Raw genomic sequence first — 19,935 nt, 5'->3', positions numbered from 1 at the left:
TTCATATGGAAGATTTCCTTTCCCTTCAAATTTTAGATGTAGGGACTGAGCACCTTCTAAATGGCAGAAATACAAGTTGGCAAGTGCTCCAGCTCCAACTATGGCTTTTTAGTGCCTTGCCTTGGGAATAAATGAAGCATGAGCTCTGAGACTCCAACTAAGACAGTTATCACTGCCTCATGGCTGTACTTGTAGCTTCAGAGAAATGGGTACCAAGAGGTACAAACAATGGTGAGCCACTGGATGCCATCTGTCATTTGCAATCATGACTGTCTTAATATCTGGTGACTCAATCCACCATGACTAAATTACAGTGCAGCAGAGTACCATCAAGAAATTAATTCTTGAAACATGAAACATACTAGATTTCGGAGGAAGTCAGTTTAGAGTAGAAATCAATACAGCTGTAATTAATAAATACTTCAGTTTATTTTGATTGACGATGCATCATGGTCATGTTTTAAGAAAGAAAACAAAAAGCTATTTTTGGGTTAAAATGGAATTACTATTTGATGAAAAGTTTTAAAAAAATGTTTAGAGAGTTCACCTGCCATCTGGGAATTAACAACTGCTGGCATAAGTTTAAAAACGATTAATTTATTCTTTAAATGAAGTTAAGCTAGGATGATTAGAAATAAATGGACCCTGCAAGTACATGAATGATCAGACTGCTTTTTGGAGCTTGGCAACACACAAATGGTCAAGACTTCATTTATTAAATGCACTCACACCAATTGTGTTTGATTTGTACTATATTTTGATCCAAACACAAGATCAAAATTACAGATTTACAAAATCACTGCTTATTGTAAAATCAGTAAATAGACTTGGAATAGTAAACAGGTTTTTTTTTTTTTTGAGACGGAGTCTCACTCTGTCACCCAGGCTGGAGCACAGTAGCACGATCTTGGCTCACTGCAAGCTCTGTCTCCCAGGTTTACGCCATTCTCCTGCCTCAGCCTCCCTAGTAGCTGAGATTACAGGTGCCCACCACCATGCCCAGCTAATTTTTTTTTTCTATTTTTAGTAGAGATGGGATTTCACTGTGTTAGCCAGGATGGTCTCGATCTCCTGACCTCGTGATCCACCTGCTGCGGCCTCCCAAAGTGCTGGGATTACAGGCGTGAGCCACCGCGCCCGGCCAGAAAACCAGTTTTATTGCAATGGTATGTGTTATGGGTTGAATTGGGTCTTCCAAAATTCATTAGTGTAAGTTCTAACCTCCAATACCTCAGAATGCATTGTACTATAACATTCTCCATTTGCAAATAGGGTCTTTACAGATTTAATGAGTTAACAGGAGGTCATTCTGGAGTAGGCTGGGCCCCTCATCCAATAAGACTGGTGTCCTTATAAAAAGGGGCAATTTGGACACAGACACAGGGATAACACTATGTGAAGATGAAGGCAGAGATGGAGATGACACTCTTATAAGCCAAGGAACACCGAAGATGGCCAGCAAACCAGCAGAAGCTGGGAGAGGCATGGAACAGATTCTCCCTCAGAGCCCCCAGAAGGAACCAGCCCTGCTGATACCTTTATCTCATATTTCCAGTCTCCAGCGCTGTGAGACAAAACATTTCTGTTGTCTCAACCACCCAGTCTGTGGCATTTTGCTAGAGCAGCCTAGAAAACTTATACAATAGGAAACATAGTCAATTGAGAACAAAACCAAAATACACCACCCTTGCTCTCTTTGAAGGAGCCCACCCAGCTTCAGAATGTATCTGATGGGAATAACTCCAGTACCCCAAACTGAGTCCATGACTTTTTTTTTTTTTTCAAAATCTAAAGGAAGCACCAGATTAACTCCAGGGAAGTGCCATTTCAGTGTTAGTAGTTTGTGAAATATATTAATACTTACACTGTATATTACACAGAACCAGGAGACCAGAGTTTACAGTCTCTGATTTCCAAAAGATTTCCCTACAATCTAAGTTACAAGAGAAAAGAAAGGGACAGGCAGAGTGATTAGACGAGGAGAGGTCTGGCCAGACAGTACTGAGAAATGGCTTGGGAGGAGGCAGAAAGAGTGGGCAAATTGACAGGATATATGGGAACCCTAGAACAAACACATGGTGTTTCTGGATGCTGAGCCCGCAGTTGGTAAGGAGAGACTGAAGAGAGTGACTGAAATCAATAAAAATCTTTAAAATGAAATCAAGCACATAAAACACAGAGCTTTCATCAAGCCCTTTAGGTAGAATACAATAGGCCACATAGTAGAAAATGCACATTAAGAAATACTGTAATAAAATACCTAAAAAAGACATAGGTGAGATCTACTCTAAAAGGAATGACAACACAGTTTGATATACATACAGTATTCATATCCGTATATCTATTTAAAAATCTTAACATTGGTATGAAATAACAATAAGTATCTGCAAATTAATGTGCTATATGAGAGTACTAAATCTGCCCAGATGGGACAGGAGAGATCAGAACTGAGGTATGTATTAAGCAAGACCCCAACAGACTGAATAGATAAGCTTACTTTTCTCAGTTTCAAAAATTTATTTATATACTGAAATTACTTATATGCTGAAGTTAAACGTGTTTAATTTTTAAACTATAATAAATACAGTTTAATACAGTTTAAATAATTAAATGCAGGTTGAGTATCACTTATCTGAAATGTGTGGGACCAGAAGTGTTTTGGATTTTGATTTTTTTTTTTAAATTTTGGAATAGTTTCATTATACTTATAATGAGCATTGCCTTTGAGCGGCATTTGGGTGCTCATCAAGTTTCAGATTTTGAAGCATTTAGGATTTTGGATTTTCAGATTGGGGATGCTCAACCTGCATTCATTTTTCTTAAAACTACATTTAAATATTTTAGTACATCACAGTTTATTATAAAATAACCTTGAGTATTTGTCTACATCCCTTGAGGTATTACACCAGTTTTCAACTAAGAAATCAGCAGGAATAGAAACACTGCACACAAAACCTACAAAACCTCCTATCAACAGGGAAGAGTGAACAAGAATGTATCCTGTCTGCACAGGGACAGTCGGCATGAAAAATATAGCAAGTCAAAGGGCTGGCAAGATGGCTGAATAGGAACAGCTCTGGTCTGCAGCTCCCAGCAAGATCAATGCAGAAGGTGGGTGATTTCTGCATCTCCAACTGAGGTACCTAGCTCATCTCATTAGGACTGGTTAGACAGTGGGTGCAGACCACGGAGGGCGAGCAGAAGCAGGGTTGGGCGTCGCCTCATCCGGGAAGTACAAGGAGCCAGGGAACTCCCTCCCCTAGCCAAGGGAAGCTGTGAGGGGCTATGCATTCCAGCCGAGATACTACACTTTTCCCACAGTCTTCACAACCCTCAGAACAGGAGATTCCTTCTGGTGCCTATGCCACCAGGGCCCTGGTTTCCTGCACAAAACTGGGCAGCCGTTTGGGCAGACATCGAGCTAGCTTCAGGGGTTTCTTTTCATACCCCAGTGGTGCCTGGAATGCCAGCAAGACAGAACCGTTCACTCCCCTGGAAACGGGGCTGAAGCCAGGGAGCCAAGTGGTCTACCTCAATGGATCCCACCCCCAAGGAACCCAGCAAGCTAAGATCCACTGGCTTGAAATTCTTGCAGCCAGCACAGCAGTCTGAAGTCCACCCGGGACACTCGAGCTTGGTTGGGAGAGGGGCATCTGTCATTACTGAAGCGTGAATAAGCAGTTTTCCCCTCACAGCATAAACAAAGCTGCCAGGAAGTTCGAACTGGGTGGAGCCCACTGCAGCCAGAGAAAGCCGCTGTAGCCAGACTGCATCTCTAGATTCCTCCTCTCTGGGCAGGGCATCTCTGAAAGAAAGGCAGCAGCCCCAGTCAGGGGCTTACAGATAAAACTCCCATCTCCCTGGGACAGAACACCTGGGGGAAGGGGTGGCTGTGGGTGCAGCTTCAGCAGACTTAAACATTCCTGCCTGCTGGCTCTGAATAGAGCAGTGGATCTCCCCGCACAGAGCTTGAGCTCTGCTAAGGGACAGACTGCCCCCTCAAGTGGGTCCCTGACCCCCGTGCCTCCTGACTGGGGGACAGTCAGGACCTCACACAGGAGAGCTCCAGCTGGCATCTGGCGGGTGCCCCTCTGGGACAAAGCTTCCAGAGAAAGGAACAGGCAGCAATCTTTGCTGTTCTGCAGCCTCTGCTGGTGATACCCATGCAAACAGGGTCTGGAGTGGACCTCCAGCAGACCTGTAGCAGAGGGGCCTGACTGTTAGAAGGAAAACTAACAAACAGAAAAGGGAAAACTAACAAACAGAAAAGAACAGTGTCAACATCAACAAAAAGGACATCCATACCAAAACCCCATCCAAAGGTCACCAACATCAAAGACCAAAGGTAGATAAATCCATGAAGACGGAGAGAAACCAGCTGAAAAAGGCTGAAAATTCCAAAAACCAGAACGCCTCTTCTCCTCCAAAGGATCACAACTCCTAGCCAGCAAGGAAACAAAACTGGACGGAGGATGAGTTTGATGAACTGACAGAAGTAGTCTTCAGAAGGTGGGTAATAACAAACTCCTCCAAGCTAAAGGAGCATGTTCTAACCCAATGCAAGGAAGCTAAGAACCTTGAAAAAAGGTTAGCTGAATTGATAACTAAAATAACCAGTTTAGAGAAGAATATAAATGACCTGATGGAGCTGAAAAACACAGCACGACAACTTTGTGAAGCATACACAAGTATCAATAGCCAAATCAATCAAACAGAATAAAGGATATCAGAGACTGATGTTTAACTTAATGAAATAAAGTGTGAAGACAAGATTAGAGAAAAAAGAATGAAAAGGAACGAACAAAGCCTCCAACAAATATGGGACTATGTGAAAAGACCAAGTCTATGTCTGATTGGTGTACCTGAAAGTGATGGGGAAAATGGAACCAAGTTGGAAAACACTCTTAGGGGTATTATGCAGGAAAACTTCCCCAACCCAGCAAGGCAGGCCAACATTCAAATTCAGGAAATACAGTGAACACCACGAAGATACTCCTCGAGAAGAGCGACCTCAAGACACATAATCGTCAGATTCACCAAGGTTGAAATGAAGGAAAAAATGATAAGGGCAGCCAGAGAGAAAGGTCGGGTTACCCACAAAGGGAAGCCCATCAGACTAACAGCAGATCTCTCTGCAGAAACCCTACAAGCCAGAAGAGACTGGGGGCCAATATTCAACATTCTAAGAGAGAAGATTTTTCAACCCAGAATTTCATATCCAACCAAACTAAACATCATAAGCAAAGGAGAAATAAAATCCTTTACAGACAAGCAAATGCTGAGAGATTCTGTCACCACCAGGCTTGCCTTACAAGAGCTCCTGAAGGAAGCACTAAACATGGAAAGGAACAACCAGTACCAGCAACTGCAAAAACATACCAAATTGTAAGGACCATCAACACTAGGAAGAAACTGCATAAACTAACAGGCAAAATAACCAGCTAGCATCATAATGACAGGATCAAATTCACGCATAACAATATTAACCTTAAATGTAAACGGGCTAAATGCCCCAATTAAAAGACACAGACTGGCAAATTGGATAAAGAGTCAAGACCCGGCTGGTCGCGGTGGCTCACACCTATAATCCCAACACTTTGGGAGGCAGAGGCAGGTGGATCACGAGGTCAGGAGTTCAAGACCAGCCTGGCCAACACATGGTGAAACCCTGTAACTACTAAAAATACAAAAATTAGCCGGGTGTGGTGGCAGGTGCCTGTAATCCCAGCTACTCGGGAGACTGAGGCAGGAGAATTGCTTGAAACCGGAAGGTGGAGGTTGCAATGAGAAGACATTGCGCCACTGCACTCCAGCCTGGGTGAAAGAGCAAAACTCTGTCTCAAAAAAAAGAGTCAAGACCATTGGTATGCTGTACTCAGGAGACCCATGTCATGTTCAAGGACACACATAGGCTCAAAATAAAGGGATGGGAGAAATATTTACCAAGCAAATGGAAAGCAAATAAAAGCAGGGGTTGCAATCCTAGTCTCTGATAAAACAGAGTTTAAGTCAACAAAGATCAAAAGAGACAAAGAAGGCCACTACATAATGGTAAAGGGATCAATGCAACAAGAAGAGCTAACTATCCTAAATATATATGCACACAATACAGGAGCATCCAGATTCATAAAGCAAGTCCTTAGAGACCTACAAAGAGACTTAGACTCCCACACAATAATAGTGGGAGACTTTAACATCCCACTGTCAATATGAGACAGATCAACGAGACAGAAAATCAACAAGGATATTCAGGACTTGAACTCAGCTCTGGACCAAGCAGACCTAATAGACAGCTACAGAACTCTCCACCCCAAATCAACAGAATATACACCCTTCTCAGCACCACTTCACACTTACTGTAAAACTGACCACATAATTGGAAGTAAAACACTCCTCAGCAAATGCAAAAGAATGGAAATCATATCAAACAGTCTCTCAAACCACAGTGAAATCAAATTAGAACTTAGGATTAAGAAACTCACTCAAAACCACACAACTACATGGAAACCAAACAACCTGCTCCTGAATGACTACTAGAAAAATAACGAAGTCAAGGCAGAAATAAAGATGTTCTTTGAAACCAATGAGAAAAAAGACACAATGTGCCAGAATATCTGGGACACAGCTAAAGCAGTGTTTAGAGGGAAATTTATAGCACTAAATGCCCACAAGAGAAAGCAGGAAAGATCTAAAATCGACACCCTAACATCACAATTAAAAGAACTAGAGAAGCAAGAGCGAACTAATTTGAAAGCTAGCAGAAGACAAAAAATAAGATCAGACAGAACTGAAGGAGACAGAGGCACGAAAAACCCTTCCAAAAAAATCAGTAAATCCAGGAGCTGGTTTTTAGAAAGATCAACAAAATAGATAGACCACTAGCCAGACTAATAAAGGAGAGAAGAATCAAATAGATGCAATAAAAAATGATAAAGGGGATATCACCACCGATCCCACAAAAATACAAACTACCATCAGAGAATACTATAAACACCTCTACGCAAATAAACAAGAAAATCTAAAAGAAATGGATAAATTTCTGGACACATACACTCTCCCAAGTCTATACCATGAAGAAATCGAATCCCTGAATAGAAACATTAACAAGTTCTGAAACTGAGGCAGTAATTAATAGCCTACCAACCAAAAAAAATCCAAGACAAGATGAATTCATAGCGAATTCTACCAGAGCTACAAAGAGGAACTGGTACCATTCCTTGTGAAACTATTCCAAACAAAAGAAAAAGAGGGAATCCTCCCTAACTCATTTTATGAGGACAGCATCATCCTCATACCAAAACCTGGCGGAGACACAACCAAAAAAGAAAATTTCAGGCCAATATCCCTGACGAACATCGATGTGAAAAGCTTCAATAAAATACTGGCAAACCGAATCTGGCAGCACATCAAAAAGCTTATCCATCACGATCAGGTAGGCTTCATCCCTGTGATGCAAGGCCGGTTCAACATATGCAAATCAACAAACATAATCCATCACCTAAATAGAACCAATGACAAAAACCACATGATTATCTCGATAGATGCAGAAAAGGCCTTTGACAAAATTCAATACCCCTTCATGCTAAAAACTCTCAATAAAGTAGGTATTGGTGGAACGTATCTCAAAATAATAAGAGCTATTTATGACAAACCCACAATCAATATCATACTGAATGGGCAAAAACTGGAAGCATTCCCTTTGAAAACCTGCACAAGACAAGGATGCCCTCTCTCACCACTCTTATTCGACATAGTGTTGGAAGTTCTGGCCAGGGCAATCAGGCAAGAGAAAGAAATAAAGGGTATTGAAATAGGAAGAGAGGAAGTCAAATTGTCTCTGTTTGCAGATGACATGATTGTATATTTAGAAAACACCATCGTCTCAGCCCAAAATCTCCTTAAGATGATAAGCCACTTCAGCAAAGTCTCAGAATACAAAATCAATGTGTAAAAATCATAAGCATTCCTATACACCAATAATAGACAAACAGAGAGCCAAATCATGAGAGAACTCCCATTCACAATCGCTATAAAGAGAATAAAATACCTAGGAATACAACTTACAAGGGCTGTGAAGGACCTCTTCAAGGAGAACTACGAACCATTGCTCAAGGAAATAAGAGAGGGCACAAACAAATGGAAAAACATTCCATGCTAGTGGATAGGAAGAATCAATATCGTGAAAATGGCCATACAGCCCAAAGTAACTTATAGATTCAATGCTATCCCCATCAAGCTACCATTGATTTTCTTCACAGAATTAGAAAAAACTACTGTAAATTTCATACGGAACCAAAAAAGAGCCCGCATAGCCAAGACAATTCTAAACAAAAAGAACAAAGCTGGAGGCATCATGCTAGCTGACTTCAAACTATACTACAAGGCTACAGTAACCAAAACAGCATGGTACTGGCATCAAAACAGATGTATAGACCAATGGAACAGAACACAGGCCTCAGAAATAACACCACACATCTACAGCCATCTGATTTTTGGCAAGCCTGACAAAAATAAGCAATGGAGAAATATTCCCCATTTAATAAATGGTGTTGGGAAAACTGGCTAGCCATATGCAGAAAACTGAAACTGGACCCCTTCCTTACACCTTATAAAAAATTAACTCAAGATGGATTAAAGACTTAAATGTAAGACCTAACACCATAAAAACCCTAGAAGAAAACCTAGGCAACACCATTTAGGACATAGGCATGGGCAAGGACTTCATGACTAAAACACCAAAAGCAACAGCAATGAAAGCCAAAATTGACGAATGGGATCTAATTAAACTAAAGAGCTTCTGCATAGCAAAAGAAACTATCATCAGAGTAAACAGGCAACCTACAGAATGGGAGAAAACTTTTGCAATCTATCCATCTGACGAAGGGCTAATATCCAGAATCGACAAGGAACTTAAACAAATTTACAAAAAAAACCCACAAACGACCCCATCAAAAAGTGGGCAAAGGATATGAACAGACAATTTTCAAAAGAAGACATTTATGCAGCCAAAAAACATATGAAGGAAAGTTCATCATCCCTCATCATTAGAGAAATGCAAAACAAAACCACGATGAGATACCATCCCATGCCAGTTAGAATGGCGATCATTTAAAAATCAGGAAACAATAGATACTAGAGAGGATGTGGAGAAATAGGAATGCTTTTACACTGTTGGTGGGAGTGTAAATTAGTTCAACCATTGTGGAAGACAGTGTGGCGATTCCTTAAGGATCTAGAACCAGAAATACCATCTGACCCGGCAATCCCATTACTGGGTGTATACCCAAAAGATTATAAATCATTCTACTATAAAGACACATGCACATATTATGTGTGTTGCAACCACGTTCACAATAGCAAAGACTTGGAACCAACCCAAATACCCATCAATGATAGACTGGATAAAGAAAATGTGACATATGTACACCATTGAATACTATGTAGTCATAAAAAAGGATGAGTTCATGTCCTTTGCAGGGACATGGACGAAGCTAGAAACTATCAATCTCAGTGAACTAACACAAAAACAGAAAACCAAACACCGCATGTTCTCGCTTAGAAGTGGGAGCTGAACAATGAGAACACATGGACACAGGGAGGGGAACATCACACACCATGGCCTGTCGGGGGGTAGGGGGTTAGGGAAGGAATAGCATTAGGAGAAATACCTAATGTAGATGACGGGTTGATGGGTGCAGCAAACCACCATGGCACATGTGTACCTATGTAACAAACCCGCACATTCTGCACATGTATCCCAGAACTTAGAGTAAAATTAAAAAAATAAATAAGAAAAATATAGCATGTCTCCATGAGGATGTTGAGATTTAAAAGACAAAAATAATACATAAACAGCAAAATATGAATAAATAAAATTATTTTCCTCCAGATGAGTGTAATACCAAGCCTGAAAGTAAAATATGAAAAAGGAAGGCTCAATTAACAGCAACAGAATGTGAGTCTTTTAGCAGTGGTTACTCTGCTTACATGAAGTACTATTATTAATAATATTAAATGTAATCCTTTCCAGATGAGAAGAGTCTGTTTGTAACTTGAGTGCTTTTTTCAATAATTATAACTTTTAAAAAGCTAGATATTAACCTTAGACTTCTTTTCATTTCTTTAAAACTGGTATGGAGTTAACGTTCCTGGAACTAGCCAGAGGGCTGGGAAAGTAGTAAGCTGTCTCCATGGTAACAGGCTGCTCTGCCATGCAGGGATCATTTCACATGTTCCTTGTAACCCAGAGACCACATGGAGGGGAGAAGCAAGATCCCCATTTTGGATTTTCAGGGTCACCATTAAAAATGAGTTTCAGTAGGATCGTATTTTTATAAGAATGCTGAATGGGGGGCATCTGTCATGAATATGTAAAAATTACCTATGCTTATTTTTTTTTCTCTTCTTCAGTCTGCCAGTGACCATCAGGCATGGGCTCTGATGGAAGCCTGGTGGTGATAAGGTCATCCACAGATCTCATTATGCTGTGAGCTACAGCCGACGTGATTATAAAATTCTGAGGTGGAATCCTGAGAGACAGGAGGGCTGAGCCAAAACCCTTCATGGGGTTGTGCTGCAAGGAGTGCCTGCCGTCCAGCAGGGCCTTGGCGAGCATAAGCAGGACACCTGAGCTGTGATAAATGTCCTGGTGATGACCAGAATCTGCCTGTGCTTGGGTAAGGGAGAGGCTACCCCGAGGAGCTGGAAACAAAGACATGGAAGCTAGGTAACCTGACGCTAGGCACTCTCACATCCTGGAATGAGGGAGTCTTCACTGAGCCTATTTCTTTAAGGGAAATGTTTTCATTCTGCTTTGCTTAAAACATACTCCCAGCTGAAGAGAGGAGTATGAAAATGCCCTCATCTTGTCTTACCATGTTCACCTTTTCGAGAGGCATTAACATTTGGCCCACTACAGAGACTGTTTGGATAACTAAAGAGCATGCTTTAGTAGAAGGGCCCTTGGTTAGGAGAGCAAAGGCATGGCTATACCTGCCTTGCACTGCCTCATCTAGACCAAGGGGCTGTAAGGATTCAGTGAGAAATCCAAGTAAATGCTTAAAAGGGTGTGAAGTGCATAGCAAGCATCTCATATCTGTTAACTGCTATATTTACTACTGTTAATGTTACTAGTATTGCTCATATTAAAAATTATAATTTACTTGTGGGTGCCTTAAGTTTATGGTTTTTGCTTTCCACAAAAAACACACAATAGAATCTGAGCTCAAAGGCCTTGTGGGGAAAATCTCAAGTCAATCTTTATAAATACTGAGATGAAACCACTGAGATGCTTAAAGGAATTATCTGAAGGGTATACAGATACTTTAGCCTTTATTTTGAGTAAACTAGAGTGGACCCTTGAATAATGCCAGGGGTTAAAGACCCTGACCCTCCACCCCATGCAGTTGAAAATCTGAGTAGAACTTTTGACTGCCCTAAAACTTTAACAAATAGCCTCCTGTTGACTGGAAGCCTTGCTGATAACAACACAAATTTTGTGTGTTAGATGTATGATACACTCTACTCTTACAATAAAGTAAGTTAGAGACAAGAAAATGTTATTAAGAAAATCCCAGGCTGGTGCGGTGGCTCATGCCTGTAATCCCAGCACTTTGGGAGGCTGAGGCAGGCAAACTGCCTGAGCTTAGGAGTTTGAGACCAGCCTGGGCAACACGGTGAAACTCTGTCACTACTAGAAACACAAAAAGTTAGCCAGGTGTGGCGGCATGCGCCTGTAGTCTCAGCTACTTGGGAGGCTCGGGAAGGAGAACTGCTTGAATCTGGGAGGCGGAGGTTGCAGTGAGCTGAGATCACGCCACCACACTCCAGCCTGGGTAACACAGCGAGACTTTGTCTCCGCCCCCCTGCCCCCCAAAAAAGAGAAAATATATTTACTATTCATTAAGTGGAAGTGGATCATCATAAAGGTCTTCATTCTCATCATCTTACTCTGAGTAGGCTGAGGAAGAGGAGGAGGAGGAAGAGGAAGAGAGGTTGGTCTTGTTGTCTGAGGGGTGGCAGAGGCAGAAGAAAATATAAGTGGACCTGAGCAGTTCAAACCTGTGTTATTCAAGGGCCAACTGTATTTAATAGAAAGTCTGCTACTGAATCCTGCTAATGTATGAGAAGGACAGAAATCATACTGCATGTGTATAAAGGATACAATTTTCTAGAAAATGCCAAATGGCAAAAATATGTTTTCAAAGTAAGCAATAGTTTTGATGCCATTTTACTTCCATGAAATGCTTTCTTCTAAAACATGATCTCCTGATCAAAAATAAATAAGAGCTATGTGAGCTTTTACAATAACTAACTCAGAAGTAAAACCTGTCATCAGTGCCTCTGTACAATAGCTTTTTCTCAAAATGTCTGTATCCTATCATTATGAAGTTGGAGTGTTTACAGTGTTCCCCCAATGGATGTCTTTTCAAATTGCCATAATTATTTTGATGCTAATTTTGATCTTAATCCATTTATCACACCAAATCAAATAATCCTGAAGTAAAATGATGTCTGCTAATAGGGAAGAAGTGACAAGGGAGGGAAAAAGCCCTTGGGTGTAGAAGGTAATGCCTGTGAGATCAGATTCTATTACATCTTTTTGTGGAAAGCAAAACCCACAAAACCAAGGCACCCACAAGTAAATTAAACCACAAAACTAGATTAGAGTGAATCTGACACCATTTGTTTTAAGCACTATAGCAGAGGGAAAGCAGCAGTGAAATAGAAGCATCAAACATCTACATAAAGATCCCCAATTCAAATGACAAGGTTGATAGAGAGTGCTAATTTTCACAGAACTGCAGAAATTACAGCTTAGCCACAGATGACCTTCAAGTGAAGAAATACTTTATGATCCATATACACTAAAGTTCACCAATTCATGTGGCTGATGCAAAAATGTGCCTCCGATAGGCAGCATTAAGACCATAGAGTTGATGTGAAATAAAACCATTCATCTGTGAAGGTTTTTACTTTAGCCTCTCCTGCCCTTTGTTGGACCATTTGATTGTCATCTTAAAACGTCAAAGCTTTATTGCAGAGTTTTTACCACTGCTAAAGGAATATTCATGGCACTAGTCTCTTATCCTGTCAAAGGCAGTATTTATATACATGAGAATATAAAACTCTTGTAACAAGGAAAAATGTCACAGATTTACAAAGGATCAAGTTTACAAGGCAGCAAGTTGGTGTACATGTTGCACCCCATGAGCCCTCTGATCAAAAAGCTAGTATTAAAAGCAGAGAAGTCTGTCCTTGATAGTTTTTGGACAGAATATCACTTGGTCTTGGAATGCAGTTAGAACTCCTCCACCCTCTTTTCACTCTAAGGACACTGCTGAACCCAAGATGAAGGTGCAACTCTCAAGTGCGGCTCCATTTCCTTGTAACTTCTACACAAATTCTAGTGTGTGCCATCAACTGAAATCATAGAACTTTCTAAAGTTTGGGGAATGAGAGAAATATAATTTGGTTTGTTAAATAAGTATTCATATTCATAGCATCCCATAAAAAGAAGCATATACAATCCTTCTACTCAAATCTCTTCCAAGAATGAAGATAACACAGACAATGTATTATAGAGAAAGAAACACATTTCGTTGAATTCAGAATTCTGTCTAGAAATGTTATTTTACTGCAGGAGTTTTAAACTAGATATATGACTTGAAGCGTCATTTGGAACTGGGAATTCATCAAGTCAGTAAAATAATGAAGACATTTATGGAGAGACTTGGGTAAGAGGGAAGACTCACTGAATATATATATGAATGAAGCAAAATAAAGTTCAATGGAGAAACTAAAATTGTGATTGTCCTTTAAAATTAATTGTAGAATATTTATAATCCTAGCATACTACAACAGGTGTAAAATAAATACATTTTGATAGTCTGTGTGTTACTTAAAACTACTATCAAAATAAATTTTTTTCTTTTAATTACATTTTAGCAACATTTACTGGGCCCCTCTTATAAGCCAGTCAAGTGGGAACCAGGTATCAGGTATTGAGTTGAGGTCCTAGAGAGTTTTACTTCTGGGGAAGCCTCTTGGATTCACCCAACAGATAACATTTTTGAAAGTTACAAATTAGTTTTGTAAGACCAATTTACTTTCCCATTGATAATTTACTCATGTTTATATTAGTTCAATTGATTTTTAAACTGGGCACTGGCCCCTAAAGGTTAAAGTTTAGAATGTAATAAAAACTTTGAGGATCAGTAATCTTCAAAGTATTTTCTTACTACAGAAGCTTTCTTTAAAGACAATGTGGAACATTGGTATGCAAAATAGATGAATGCAGAGTGGTTTTGGCTAAAGGAGAGACCCAAATCTCAATCCCCATCAGCCTTGAAACCACTAATACTCCAGGGAACAGGGTTTGAAAATCACTGCTGGAGTTCAATTCATTCATTCTGCCGATGAGCCAATGAGGAGATGGCCCCAGAGAGAGAGGTCAAGTTTTGGAGTTGTGATGGCGAATGAGGCAGAGGAGCTTGTATCCTGGCTTTTCCAGTTATGACCCATGTAGCTTTGAGAGGTCCCTTTTCTCTGATGCTCTGTTGCCTCATCTATGAAGCTGATATAACAGTTTACTCCACCCCTCCAGGCCGCTGAAGTGAAAGTGCTTGTGAAATGTATATGCCTATTCAAAAAGCAAATTGCTACAGCTGCTGCTCTAACAGAAGCCTTAAATCAGAGAACTGGAAGCGAAGCCCACCGATCTAAGTCACAGACAGATAGGTGACCTCTCCAGGGCTCTAGATAAGGTAGAAGGTGACGCACAGCGCTGGTTTCTTTGGCACTACTACATGGTAAACACCCCTGAGGAGGAATCTTGGTTGGCATCTGCAGCAAGTTCTTTTGTTCAGAGAAACCTTCAGAAAATCTAATGTGCTGAAAAAACATGACTTCTAAATAGTAGGAAAATATTTACCTCCGAAGTCTGTGAAGCACCTGGCACCTAAAGCACACTGGACACTTGGCAAGACTGTTTAGAGGCACAGATCTGCAACCAGACGGTGTATGGTGTGAGCTCAGATCTAGCCCCATGATCACGTGCTATGTGTCCCATCAACTATCTGTTGTGAGAATGAAGGGAGATGATGCACTAAAGGGCTGAAGTGCCTGGTGAATGCCAAACAAAATACCAGCTCCACTGTCCTCACCTTGTGCAATATCACATAAGTCAGTCATGACAGTACGGAGCTATTAGCCCATTAACATTCCTTTGTCTTTACTGGGGGAAATATACCTCTATTGAAATGGACCCTTAAAGCATCACCATCCATCACTGACAAGTGAGGGGACTGGGAACTTTGCAAAGGTGGCAGTTTGTAGAGTATTTTACATATGAGAGCAATATTGCACAAATTTACAACAGAAGTAGCACTCTCTGTGGAATGTCCTAAGAAGTGCACAGTGGTCCTATTTATGCGTAACGTTAAGTGCCAATAAAGAGGTGACTTCTCAGTATGAGACTTAAGAACACTTCAGGTAGCACTTCAAAGCCAGGTTTCAGTCGTCTGAAAAACAAGATACTGACTGAATGAAAGGGTCTAATAATCATAAAATGGTTTTAAACATAGTGGAGTTTAAAATTAATAAGATACTATAAACATGTATAACATGAAGTATTATTAATAAAATATAATAAGAAATTCAAAATTGTTGCAGATTTGGCATAAAATGTCTTCAAGCGATCTCTTAATTTCCTGTTTCTTAATGGTAGATTTAAAGTCATATATTCATATAATTTTTTCTTTATTATACTTAGCATCTTAATCTAATGTGTAGTGACCAAAGACTGCTAAAAGTAAGAGAGATGCTCTCAAAGGCTCCAAATGAGGCAATTTACTTTGGCTTAACCCTCTTGGAGACTACCTTAGAAGAGCTGCAGATTCGGTTATGAACATGACCACTGTACATAGGTGATGAACACAGCGTTAATTTCATTTTAGCCACATTTATTAGGCCCCTCCTATAAGCCAGTCAAGTGAGAACCAGGTATCAGGTATTGAGTTGAGGTCGTAAGGAGTTTTACTTCTGGGGAAGTTGGCTTCACCAATCAGAAAACATTTTGGAAAGTTACAAATTAATTTTGTAAGCTAAATCATACTTTCCCATTGATAATTTACTCAGGTTTATATTAATTCCATTGATTTTTTAATTGAGCACTGGCCCCTAAAGGCTAGAGCTCCGTGTGTGAATGGCCAGTGCCCAAGAACTGCAGTGGGGGATAAACCACCCCGCAAAAACTTCATATGCAGCACACTTCATAACAGGGTCATCTGTGGGGGGTTCAAAGTAGAGAAAATAGATATCTGGTGGAGAAGAAAGTGAACATGATCTTAAAATGTTTCATAAATCAATGTGCCAGAGGTATTCCAGCATTCCTTATACTCTAAAAATGAATGTGAAACTTTTTCAGGCCCAAGTTCAATACAAACATCTCTCTGGCTCATAGGCCAATGGTCAAAATCTTAAATTAAATCTAGAAGTGTATCAACTTTTTGTTTGTTTTCTTGAGACAGAGTCTCGTTCTGTCACCCAGGCTGGAGTGCAGTGGTGCGATCTCGGCTCACTGCAACTTCCATCTTCCGGGTTCAAGCAATTCTCCTGCCTCAGCCTCCCGAGTGGCTGGGATTACAGGCACCCGCCACCACATCTGGCTAATTTTTATATTTTTAGTAGAGATGGGGTTTCACCATATTGGCCAGGCTAGTCTTTAACTTCTGACCTCAAGTAATCTGCCTGCCCCGGACTCCTGAAGGGCTGGGATTATAGGTGTGGGCCACCATGCCTGCCTACATGTGCATCAGCTTTACAAGACTCTTCAGTTGATTAAAGGAAGGGGGCATGACCCCCACAAAAAGTAATTTCTTCCCTTTACCAATACAGCATGGAATGCTGAATCACAAATACAACTAGGAGAGTAAATGAAAACGAAGCCTGCTTTTTCTCCTGTTTTTGATGCCAATTGCCAGGTTCAGAGAGTGATGCGTCAATCCCTACTCTGACTGCCCTAGCATCCTGTGCCTCGGTGTAGCCACTCTAACACCCTCTGTAAAAACAGTGTCCAGAGGGAAAGTCCTGGGAGGTGCAGGGTGCAACCTACTCCTTGTACTATGCTTAGAAACCAATGCCACTCGGTGGGGACATTTACCATCATTTCCTTGGTAATGATCCATAAAATCCCTGCTGGCACCTGACAGCAGCCTCTAGGGACATAATCCCCATGAATAGGTAAAGAGTGAAGCTTCACAACCCATTCTATCTGGGGATGGAGAGTTTAAGGTGTACATGGTGGTAAGACTTCCAGTGAAAAATCATGTTTAAAAAACGGAGATTTCACCAGGCACGGTGGCTCATGCCTATAATCCCAGCACTTTGAGCGCCTGAGGTGGGAGCATCACACGGTCAAGAGATCGAGACCATCCTGGCTAACATGGTGAAACCCTGTCTCTACTAAAAATACAAAAATTAGCTGGGCATGGTGGCGAGTGCCTGTAGTCCCAGCTACTTGGCAGGCTGAGGCAGGAGAATTGCTTGAACCAGGGAGGCGGAGGCTGCAGTGAGCCAAGATCACACCACTGCACTCCAGCCTGGTGACAGAGTGAGACTCCGTCTCAAAAAAAAAAAAAAAGGAAAATGGAGATTCAAGTCCACTGCTGGAAGGAAGGAAAACATAGAGAATTTTATAGAACCACATAAATTAGAAATGAAATTAAAATCAAACACTACTTATAGGCCAACAATCACTAGAATGATGCTTGAAAATATTATAGTTCATCTTCTCTTTAGCGAGGTGTACACCATCCATACCTTCTACTGACTCATTTTTTCCTCCACTATATATGATTCAGATGGCAGCCAGCAAGGTCTTGGTCATAAGCACAATTCAGTAGCCTGCTGACCTCAGGAAAGACAGCCTTGTAACTTCTGAAGATACACAGGACAGACCACTAATATGGTGAGCTAGTTTGAACCAAAGATTCAAATACACACAGTTCTGTGGTGGATTCTCTCATATGCCATTGATCCGGATCAACCAGGAGTTAGCCGTACTCTCCTATGTACCCAGAGCTTCAGTTCTGCCTAAAATTCATCATTTTCTTGGATCTCCTCACATTTTCTTCACTTCCAACTCCAGCACTACTAGTTACTGTTCTTCTTAGGATGATTTTTCAAATATAGAGTGTTTATCCCTTTACAAGAATGTCAGTGTCTCAAGGTGGGAAAGGTTCTTAATCCCCATTTCACCCCCAGGCAAACTAGACACTGGATACGTAATTTTTAATGGAACAGCAAATGATGAGAGAATTAACATACAGAACACGAAGCCCAGGGGAGGCGTGGATGGTGGGAGTGGCCTGCATTCTGTATTCTTCATTGGCCCTGGAGTGTGGGCTTTTAAAGGTGCCACTTCCCCGAAATAGCGGAATTAACACAAGTAGTGAACGTGGAGACAATCACAAATAATTGAATCTCTGAATATTGAATCTGTGAGTCCACAGGGAACAATCAATTTGAGCAAAATTTAAAAAATGAATAAATAAACTATGTAATCTGAATTCTAGAAACAAAACCCTATTTTAAACGCAGTTGAGGAGACCAAATTCAAGCAGCCTTTGAATAAAGCTAATTACGCCTTGATTATTCCTTACTTTGACTAGTTTAAAGTTTCACCCAAGTTCTTACCATTCTGCACCATAATGTTCAACTACAACTAAACATAAATAACCCAGTTTCTTCTGTTTCTTCTCCTCTTTTGTTTCTGACTTCATTTTTGCCTTTCTTTCTCCAGCAATAGACTGTGTCTCCCCTCTTTCAGTGAAATAGCGCTTCCAGCCCTGCTAAGCCCTGTGCTGTTGTGTCTTATATCTGAAGATGTTGCTGTCAGAGCTTGTGAGAGGCAGTGAGCAAAAAGATAGATGAGCAACGTACAGTGACTTTCCTTCATATGTACAAAAAACTTCAGTCTATTAAATTCCACAAACATCTCCTTAATTTTTTTTTTTTTTTTTAAGAATCAGGGTCTTGCTCTGTGTCACTCAGGCTGGAGCACAGTGGCATGATCATAGCTCACTGAAGCCACAAACTCCTAGGCTCAAGTGATCCTTTCGCCTCAGGCTCCCAAGTAGCTGGGACCACAGGTGTGTGCAACCATGCTCATTTAAAAAAAAAAAAAACAAAAAAAAACAAAAATGGAGATGGGGGTCTCACATCTACCAATGAGGAGATGTGTTGCCCACGCTGATCTCGACTTCCTGGGCTCAAATGATCCTCCCACCTCAGCCTCCCAAAGCACTGGGATTACAGGTATGAGCCACTGTGCCCAGCCCCACAAACATTTCTTTATCCTCTGTAGTTTGCTATATTCTGTGCTCGATTCTACAGATTCAGAGTTAAAACATAATTCTTACCCCCAACTTGCTTATAGTCTATTAGAGAGAGACAGAAAAATTTTACTGTAACTTAAATCAGATTTTCACAAGTGCCTTTAATGTCCTCATAGACTAAAGAATGTACATGACTATGTGCTCACAGTCATAAGGAACTCTGAGGACATAGAATGTAAATGATGAATAAATGGTGATTAAAGGATAAGAAGCCAACATGGGAGGGAGAATCTGAACTGGTTCTTCACAGTTTAGACTGAGTTCCTCCTTCTTCTGCTGTCAGTGGGGCTGCTTTGCCTTCTAGAGGAGATGCAGTTATTTTCCCCTAGATGGTTTGTCTCTACATGCCCATTAAGACGTCACTCTACTATAGGCAGTTAAGAACTGACAATAGCTTTCCATTCTGTGTTGTTGATGAAAATTTTTATTTTCACAAAGGCTTCCTGGGTGGGTAAATCACTTCATTCCTCTTCAGGAAGTGAATCAGTCCATAGAATAGCGCTGATGCTGCAAAGCCATCTACAATCTCCTCTAGGAT

At 40.8% G+C, this 19,935-nt stretch overlaps 1 protein-coding gene across 6 annotated transcripts in view, besides 2 other annotated features; it reads right to left on the bottom strand.

The window, feature by feature from the left end:
- Positions 1 to 19,935, bottom strand: part of FAM110B (family with sequence similarity 110 member B) — a 154,262-nt gene that overhangs the window by 46,750 nt on the left and 87,577 nt on the right. The window lies entirely within an intron of this gene.
- Positions 2,872 to 3,535: an enhancer, noted in NCBI's record as "H3K27ac-H3K4me1 hESC enhancer chr8:59011059-59011722 (GRCh37/hg19 assembly coordinates)". NCBI's record gives its function as "activates a minimal SCP1, AML or CMV promoter by ChIP-STARR-seq in primed H9 embryonic stem cells {active_cell/tissue: H9 hESC(primed)}" and the evidence as "EXISTENCE:reporter gene assay evidence [ECO:0000049][PMID:30033119]".
- Positions 3,536 to 4,199: an enhancer, noted in NCBI's record as "H3K27ac-H3K4me1 hESC enhancer chr8:59010395-59011058 (GRCh37/hg19 assembly coordinates)". NCBI's record gives its function as "activates a minimal SCP1, AML or CMV promoter by ChIP-STARR-seq in primed H9 embryonic stem cells {active_cell/tissue: H9 hESC(primed)}" and the evidence as "EXISTENCE:reporter gene assay evidence [ECO:0000049][PMID:30033119]".

Source organism: Homo sapiens, chromosome 8, assembly GCF_000001405.40.
Source record: "Homo sapiens chromosome 8, GRCh38.p14 Primary Assembly".
Lineage (NCBI taxonomy): Eukaryota > Metazoa > Chordata > Mammalia > Primates > Hominidae > Homo > Homo sapiens.
The sequence above is the reverse complement of the archived record's forward strand: the minus strand, read 5'-3'. Positions and strand labels throughout refer to the sequence as shown.